This window comes from Homo sapiens, chromosome 8, assembly GCF_000001405.40.
Source record: "Homo sapiens chromosome 8, GRCh38.p14 Primary Assembly".
NCBI lineage: Eukaryota > Metazoa > Chordata > Mammalia > Primates > Hominidae > Homo > Homo sapiens.
The window spans coordinates 126,367,010-126,376,420 of NC_000008.11; the positions used below are offsets into that span (position 1 = coordinate 126,367,010).

Here is a 9,411-nt window from a genome sequence, read left to right on the forward strand (position 1 = left end):
ATGTACCCCGTGAATATGTACAACTATTATTTGCTAATTTTTTAAAATAATGTTAGAATATATATATTTTATTTAACCCAATATATACAAGATGTTATCTTTTCAACATGCAATCAATATAAAAAAAAAAGTAGTGAGCTAATTTATATTTATACTAAGTCAATGAAATCCCATGTATATTTTAAACCTAAAGACATTCAAATTGGACTAGCTTCCTTTCAAATGCTTAATAGCAACATATGATGAGTGACTATGGCATTGGACAGGGCAGGGCTACTGTGTGACCCTGGGCATACCACTTCACCTCTCTGAGCCTTGATTTCTTCCTTTATAAAATGAGTGTCAGGCCAAGAGGATCTCTAAGTTAGCTTTAACATATTATGGACACATACATTACCCACAAAGTAAAGTTCTATTTCATAGCACTCAACTCTACATCTCACCATGGCCATTGGGCTTGAAAATGTACAGCAGAGGTTGATGATCCCAAACAGTGATGTTGATCTATTCAAATGACAATGTAGCAAGCAGAGGGATAGTCCCTTTAACATAACCATTGCCTCACTATCCACCAACATGCCATAAATACAGTTCTGTTACAAAGAATGTCAAGTTTATGACTTTGCATCCCAAAGAGTCCCTTCATAGTATTCCCTTAATCTGCAGAAATGAGAGAACGGTCCATTAAATTACACAGATCAGCCATTGCTACTAACAAGAGAACATCAAAGGTGGAATTTTTATAGCAGAAAATCCAAAGACTTTACTAGGGTCCAGTTGGTTACATTTTTTAAAGTTCCTTAAGGGAAATTAACTAAAACTTTCCTCTATAACATGCACTGTTAGAAGCCACACATGTGCTTCACTCTTGGCAAAGGGGTGAAGGTCTCCTTTCCAGTAGAATGCTTCCCAGGGAGATTTTCACCACTGCCAAATTCTGGGAAGACAAAGGAATGTTTCCAGCCCTGAAACTAGCTGTATTAGTCTGTTCTCATGCTGCTGATAAAGACATACCCAAGACTGGATAATTTATAAAGGAAAGAAGTTTAATTGACTCAGTTCTGCCGGGCTGGGGAGGCCTCAGCAAACTTGCAGTCATGGCAGAAGGGGAAGAAAACATGTCTTACACGGCAGCAGGCAAGAGGGCTTGTGCAGGGGAACTCCCCTTTATAGAACCATCAGATATCGTGAGACTTATTCACTATCACGAGAACAGCATGGGAAAAACCCGCCCCCATGATTCAATTACCTCCCACCAGGTCCCTCCCACGACACGTGGGAATTATGGGAGCCACAATTCAAGATGAGATTTGGGTGAGGATACAGTCAAACCATATCACTAGCTTATGACAGAATTTTCTGGAAGCTGCCCTGATCAGATAGAATCCTGTCTCCTCTACACTCTGGCTCCAGACAACCTCCCTGAATTCATCTTCCTCCACCCTGTTACCTGCCTGACTTTGAATCTCTTCCCCATGTCCCAGCTGCACAGTCCTGCCTCTCCTTGGCCATGCTATGCCTTTGCATGTGCTGACAGGAATGGCCCCCCGTCCTCCACTGTGCAGAACATACCTTGCTATTTAAATCACAATTCCTCTGTGAAGTCTGCTCTAATTCTACCTGACAAAGTGAGCAGTAACTCTCTCTGCGTTTCCATAGCTCTCTACGTGACATCATGTAGCAGCTGTCACAGTGACGTGCAACAAGCCCACCAGAATGTGGAAATGAAGACAAACCAGAGTTCAAATACCTGCTCAACCATTCTGTCACTTTGTGCTGGTCAGGAAGTTACTTAACCTCTTTAGATTCTTTATAATTAAAATGGCAACAAAAGTATCTACCTAATGACACTATTAGGTTCTTTTAGTTAATATTCACAGGATGTCACTCAACAGTGCTTGTTACTGATAGTATTAAAAGTACCTGACATTTATGCATGAGTCCATTAAAAGCTACTTACTGAGCATCTAGTAAGCGTTGGGCACTATTCTAGCTTTAGAGGAGACATTCAGGCAAATAAATTACTCAGTCCCTGCTTGAGAGCAGCTTATTATCTCAGTAAACAAAGCCTCAGTCTTTGATGTTGGACCATAAGCTTTCTTTCCCCTTGTTCTGTCCTCTGGAAGGCAAGTAAACAGCTGCCTTTGGTAACTCAGCTCTGTTGGGATGCCTGCTGTTTGACTGGGAAAAGCAGATAGTTGGAAGGTAAACAAGATAAAGCTATCTTCAGTAAGACAGGCTTCAATAGGAATCTATACAGAATCAACAATTATAACACCACCTAAAAGATGCTCTGTCCCTGTCTTCCTTACGTTAACTTTTCATTTCAATGTCAATTTCTGAACAGCTTCTTCCCTCCCAGGTGGGGACAGAAGAGGCCAGGAAGGCTCTGCCTCACACTAGAATTAGAAGCCGTGGCTGAGAGTTAGCAGAGCCAATAAGTGGCTAAGAATGGCTGTGATGAAACCCATCTTTCTAATAGGTTCAGTTTCCTTTTTTTTTAAATACTTTTATTTTAGATTTGGGGATACACATGAAGGTTTATTACATAGGTGAACTTGTGTCATGGGGGCTTGTTGTACAGATTATTTCATCACCCAGATATTAAGCCCAGATCCAATAGTTATCTTTGCTGCTCCTCTTCCTCCTCCCACCCTCCACCCTCAAGAAGATCCCAGTGTCTGTTGTTCCCCTCTTTGTGTTCATGAGTCCTCATAATTTAGCTCCAACTCATAGCTGAGGACATGTTGTATTTGGTTTTCTGTTCCTAGTTTAGTTTGCTAAGGATAATGGCCTCCAGCTCCTTCCATGTTCCCACAAAAGACATTATCTTGCTCTTTTTTATGGCTTCATTATATTTCATGGTGTATATGTACCACATTTTTTAATCCAATTTGTCACTGATGGGCATTTAGTTCGATTCCATGTCTTTGCTATTGTGAATAGTGCTGCAATGAACATTCACGTGCATGTGTCTTTATGGTACAGTTTTCTATTAAGAAAGTGAGAGGAAATGCCTGGAATCATTCTGATTCAGCTACGCATCTTTCAGGAAGAGTTAGATTAGAGAAGATGAAATTAAATTTTTTCCTGTCTAAGAAATGAGTTATCCTGGAGAGAAGGGTATTCATCCCTCTGGGGTGCAGAACTGCCAGGGACATTGGAGGGTTGGAGCAAACCTGTCTTCTGGGAGGTGAAACCACTGTAATGGAGCAGACATTGGCAGGGCAGGACCAGGGCAAGGCATGGAAAGTAAGAAATTTCAGGGAGAGAAAACAGAAGCCCAGAGCTGCAGGCTGGCCATGCTGCTCAAGGTGTGAGAAACTCTGATCCCATATGTGCTGCCCGACATCCCTGACATCAAGCTCAGATTGGCAGGAGTCTTCTAGATTCCCTCTTACTAGATCTAGTAAGATCTAGTAGTCTACAATGCCAAGTTAAGCTAGATTTGGCTCGGGAGAACTTGATACCTTCTGATGGCAGAACTGGAAAGGCAGAGGCTGCCCAGGAGTCATGTGGCCAATACAACAAAGCAAACCCCCAGGCTGCAATGCAGAACCCTGGGTTGTGGAGCAAAGGGGCCACTTTCCAATCTCACCTCAGAGGTATAGTCAATGCTAATCAACCCTGGGTACCTTATTTGCCCAGGAAACTTCATCCTGCCCCAGGGATCTGGGTGGCAGAAGCTTCTGGTGCTAAATAAGCTGCAGATCTGATCACAGTGCAATGCCACAGGTGTACAACCCAAGAGAGCTTCAGATTGAGAAAGCCCAGTGATTCTTGCTACCTTCCTTGTCTCTAATAATTGTTTTCTAGCTAGGAACAAAAGAGGCAACTCTCTAGATTTAAACATGGGCATTAAAGAAAGAAGATGAGAAAATGTAGGGGGCTGCGATGATGCCCCAAAGCTCTGATTAAAACAAAACAAAAGACATTTAAACAAGAGCAGAGGCCTCTATTAATTATGAAGCTGCCCTAAACAAAACAATACCTGGTGACATGCGGTGACATTTACTGCAAAGAATGGAAGACCGAAGTACTGGCCTGCCCTTCGGAGGACTGTGTTATTACAAAGATAAGGGGGAAACGCAGCTGTTTTTGCACAACCCAAGCAAAAGTCCAAACTAGAGAATGAGAAGGTGAATGAATGAAAAAAAGTGTCCCAGAGCATCAGCAATTTCCCTCCATCAGGGTCTCCCTGATAACTCAGTTAGTTGCCTTTCAAAAGCACTCTCGGGGAGATGCCAAGGAGTGGGGAAAGAGCAGTGACTGGGATTGGAAGGTCAGCAGGCTCCTGTCTCAAATCTTCCCCTCGGGGGTGATCGCAAGACAAGACAACTTTTGTCACCTGCAGGCTTGTGTGCCAGATTGTGAAATGTCATCTCCTCTGGGCTGGGTAGCATGGCCCTTCTTTCACATTTCCCTTCACATAAATGATACTTTCTTCCAGACTCTAAGAGCCTCCTAGGCATAAGAACTTTCTCTCATTCAGTTTCAAGTTCATATTGTCAGAGCCTGTTTGGCACAGAATGAATGAAAGACAGGAAAGAAGGGAAGGAGGGAAGGAAAAAGAGGAATGGATAGAGAGGGGAGCGAAAGAAGAAAGGACTGTTGAGTGAGGTATTGTGGAGTAGTGAAAACTTAGCTGTCAGCCAGGCACAATGGCTCATGCCTGTAATCCCAGCACTTTGGGAGGTGGAGGCAGGTGGCTCACTTGAGGTCAGGAGTTCGAGACCAGCCTGGCCAACATGGTGAAACTCATTCTCTACTAAAAATACAAAAAATTAGCCAGTTGTGGTGGCGTGCGCCTGTAGTTCCAGCTACTCAGGAGGCTGAGACAGGAGAATTGCTGGAACACGGGAGGTGGAGGTTGCAGTGAGCCGAGATCATGCCACTGCACTCAAGCCTGGGTGACAGAGTGAGACTTCATCTCAAAAAACAAATAAATAAAACCTAGCTGCTGCTTTAAATCAAATCTGGTAGTATCAAGTGTATGGGGCTCCAGGGCCAGACTACACCTTGTTAATTCCTGGCCAAACAAACTGTGTTACCTTTGGCAAGTTTCTTATCCTCTGTGTCCCTCAGTCTCCTCCTAGATAAATGGGGAATTGTGATGTCATCCATTTCTTAGGTCTGCCATGAGCATTAAATGACGTAGATTATATAAATTGCTAAGCACACACTGTCTGGCACTTTCAGTTATGCACTAAATCTTAGCAATTGCTTGTCATTAAGAAGAAGTAATTCCAATGAAGCCCCTGTGGTTGAATTGAGTTGGGGGAGACAAAGCCCCATCTTCTCTCCCTTTCTCTGCCCTCTAGGGTGCTGGAGAGAGCCCTTGCTCTCCCTGAGATATTAGAAATCTGGGAATCATTATAGAAAGGATTCAGGCACTGAAATCAGGCCTGGATTCTAATCCCACATTCATCACTTAAAAAGAAAGAAAGTTACCTAACCTCTCTGAGCAGCAACGCTTATCTGCAATACAGGTGTTAAATATGCCCCCCTGGAAACCTATTGTGAAGAGGCAATAAGGAAATGCATGCGGAGCATTTGGAACAGTTGGCCACTTAGCAGGTGCTCAGTGAATTTGCCTCCATCTCTGCTGAACACCTCCTCTGCTAAGTGCAGAGCAGTTGATTGCTATTTTCCAGGACAGTGGAAGAAAACCCCTACTCACACAGCCGCCCAGGAATTTGACAACACGGAGTCCCATTTGGACATGTGAGGTGGTCATTTCCCACACTTGATGGGCAATATGGAGTACCTGGGGTGTCCTGCGGCCAGATATGTCAGCCTGCTGCCAGCACGGGGGACAGATTGCAGTCGCATGGCACGGCCCCTTCCAGAGGCCACATCTTTAGCAGACAGCGAAAATGCAAATCAGGAAATGTGTGGCTTTGGAAATGACTCTATCAATTGTCAGACTGAGATGCTCCAAGACCGCTGGGTGACTCTGAGCAAATATGAAAAAAAGAAAAACCCATAAATTCCCAGCAGAAGTTTCATACGTGACTCAAAAATGACAGCTCTCTCATTTCAAACAAGATAGCTACCTGTTGCATAAAGAAAGAAAATTTCCAAACATGTCTTGCAGTGTAATTTTTGGCTTCAGGATGGAGGGAAGCACAGAAATTTCAAGATTTCTGACTGCTTGATCCTCCTGTGTGAAATTAAATTTTGAAAAGGAAATACAGAAATGGGGAATCAAAGCAAGGGTATTAGCTTTGAGTTACTAATTTTTTTCAACAGCTATTTTTTTCCTCCTTTTTGCTAATTAATCTTTTTTATTATGGAAGATTTCTAATATACATAAAAATAGAATAACACAATGAATTCCCATCCTTCCATCAAACACTTTCAACAGTTCTCCAGTCTTGTCCCATTTCTATCTTTATACGCCTCCCTTCCTCCTGTTCTATTTTAAGGACAATCTCAGACATGATATCATTTCATCCATAATATTTCACCACAACTCTTTACTGAGCACCTTCTAGGTATGCTTGCCACTGGGCAGGCAAAATAGATGAAGAAGGTGACTTGCCCTCACAAAGCTCATTGTCTTGAAGGGGGAAGTATATTTTCTGAAACATATAAAGTCAATATTTGTATTACAAATTTATATAACATGTTTATGTAACAAATATTGTAGAATGTGACCTGTATCAGGCACATTTGCAACGCTTTACAATATCAACCTTTATAATGTAGTCTTCCTGAGCAACACAATAAAATAGGTGATATTATTGTCCTGATTTTACAGATGAGAAAGTTGAGGCACAAAGAGGTTGAGTCTTTTTGCCCGAGGTCACACAGCTAGTAAACGGTGGAGCTGGGTTGCACAAAGTGCTGCCAAGGCACACCAGAGAAAATAGATAACTCTGTCTGGGGCCTTTGAGGCCCCAGAAGTTGAAGACTGCCAGTACTGTATTCCAAATAGTGTGTTATGAAGGAGTGCTCTTGGATAAACTAAGGACTCCTTCCTCCTGAAATGTGTAACATGAAAACAATTTGGCAAATAAAAACATACAAGTAGTTGTTAAACCAGCACTAGGATTTATGCTTTCCTGAGTATCCCAGACTTTTTAACTATTACAATTTTGTCTGCTTAAATATATCGTAGTTTTTGTTTGTTTGTTTGTTTTTAAGACAAGGTCTCACTCTGTCACCCAAGTTGGAGTGCAGTGGTGCAATCATAGCTCACTGCAGCCTGGCCTTCCTGGGCTCAAGTGATCCTCTAGTAGAGGTTCCCATCTAGACAAACAGAGGGAAGGTCATAAGCAAGTGTCCAGAGAAATTTCCAGTTGCACACAGAAAGCGACTGTTGTAGAGACAAACCAGAAATGTCCAGAAATGTCCAGAAATGGAAGTGGAAAGGCAGGTGAGGCCAGGCTCCGAAGGGCTTTTGTGAACCATCCTGAGGAGCGTGGACATTCCCATGGCCTCTGGATGGTGAGCAGAGATTAAACAGGTGAATAACAGGGTCAAATCGTATTAAGAACAGAATTCTGGAAACCATGAGGAAGACTGAATGTAAGTAGGAGAAATAGAAGGCCTAAAATGTCCAGGGTAACTGGGGGACTGATCACAGCTGAACCAAAGCAGTAGAGTTGGAAATGGAATTAAACAGAAATTAATGGAAATAGGAGTCAGGTGACATGGTGCCAACTGAGACTTCTCCTATTTCTCAGAACTTTGGCAGAAGCCCAAAGCTCTAAACAATAAAGAGCAAGTGCTGCAAATCCTGAGAAAAAGTTGCCAGACACATCAACAAAGAACTTGCTCAGAGGTGGCTAAACCCATGCTGAACTCATTAACCCATCACCCACCTCCGGTCTCTAGATAACAGCTGCCTGGAGATATGTCCAGGGTTTATTTACAAAAGATGGCTGGCCTACTAGAGAATGCGGGGAAGGGATACTCTTCTCTCCCAAGCCAAAAAGAGGAACTCGGTGCCCCAAGAATCAACAGAGAAGTCAATGACCCCAGCATCAACAGGGTACCAGAGCAGTGAGGAAATTCTTGGGAGGACGTGGCAGATATTTCTTCTCAGAGTTTGGTGGGCACAGAAGAAGGTATTTATCTCTTGCAATGGCAGAGAGGGCTGGCTGGATGTGCCCACAGAGCTAGAGAGCTACAGCAGGAGTGCCCCGGAGCTTCAGGGTACACAGGCAACCATGTCCACTGGCTCCATGAGTTAAGAGGATGCTGTGAAAGGTAGCCACTCAAGAGACAGTGTCCTGAGCTGGCATTTTCCAGTAGGAAGAAGTGACAGTTGTATTGCCAGAAGTATATACTGAGGGTTAGAGTCCTACCATGTTCGTGAGAAAGTCCTGGTTAACAGTGCAGGATCCTAGTGGCCTTGAAAGGGTGGAGGTGTGTGCAGAAAAGAGACAGCATAGCAGGCCTGACTGCGATCCTTGGAAAGGCTTGTTTACAAGATTAGCTCCTGACTGTACTCAGAGTGTCTGGGAATTTGGAGTGTTTCCGCTATTTTCAGAACTGATAAGAATGGCATTCTATGCCTAAACAATACAGTTTCTGCTGAACACCTGCTTTCCCTCAGGGAGTCTGGAATTTTGGTATGTGCCAGGCAGAGGCTGCCTGCATACCAGCCTCCAATAAACACTGAATGCTTTGTCTCTAATGAGCTCCACTACTTGGCAATATTTTACACATGTTGTCATAACTCACTGTTGGAGAATTAAGCATGTCTCGGTGACTCTACTGGAAAGGATCCCTGGAAGCTTATGTCTGGTTTTCCCCATACTTCGTCCCATGTGTCTTTTCCCTTTGCTGACCTTGCTCTGAGTTTTTTTGCTGTAATAATTCATAGCTGTGAATATTATTATACACTGAGTCCTGTGAGTCCTCCTATCAATTCATCAAACCTAGGGATGCCTTCAAAAAGCCTACCATTGCCCCCCAAGAGTAGCAATGCCAGCATTTGGGTATGTGCCAGACAGAGGGTGCAGATGTCAAATTTGACAGCATCAGTCATGTGAAACCATTTTTAGACTTTAATTCCCCAGTTTTCTCCTTGAGCTGATTCTGAAGAAAACAGAAACACTATAGGCTGTGGGAGCAGAGGAGAAAATGAACAGATGAAAAAGGAGAAGCAAATGCGAGAGGAGAAAGAAAAATGAACACCCCCTCTGACTTTGCAGATTATAAAAATGTGAGTCTGGCCTGAGCTAGAGTGAGGAGGAGACAGGGAGTTGGAAGGGATGGGGTGTGGGCAAGGATTGAACTAGATTAGACATTAAATTTTGATATATTTAATATCTGAAAGTGAGACTGTCATGATAATGAAAAATAACTAGAAAGAATATAGAGAAGCCGTGTGATTTGTCTGACAGGTTATCAAGGATGGAAAGTATGCTTGGGAACGATACGGAAGCAGATCAAACT

At 43.1% G+C, this 9,411-nt stretch overlaps 1 annotated feature.

Moving 5' to 3' along the window:
- Positions 5,223-5,764: an enhancer, noted in NCBI's record as "OCT4-NANOG-H3K4me1 hESC enhancer chr8:127384477-127385018 (GRCh37/hg19 assembly coordinates)". NCBI's record gives its function as "activates a minimal SCP1, AML or CMV promoter by ChIP-STARR-seq in primed H9 embryonic stem cells {active_cell/tissue: H9 hESC(primed)}" and the evidence as "EXISTENCE:reporter gene assay evidence [ECO:0000049][PMID:30033119]".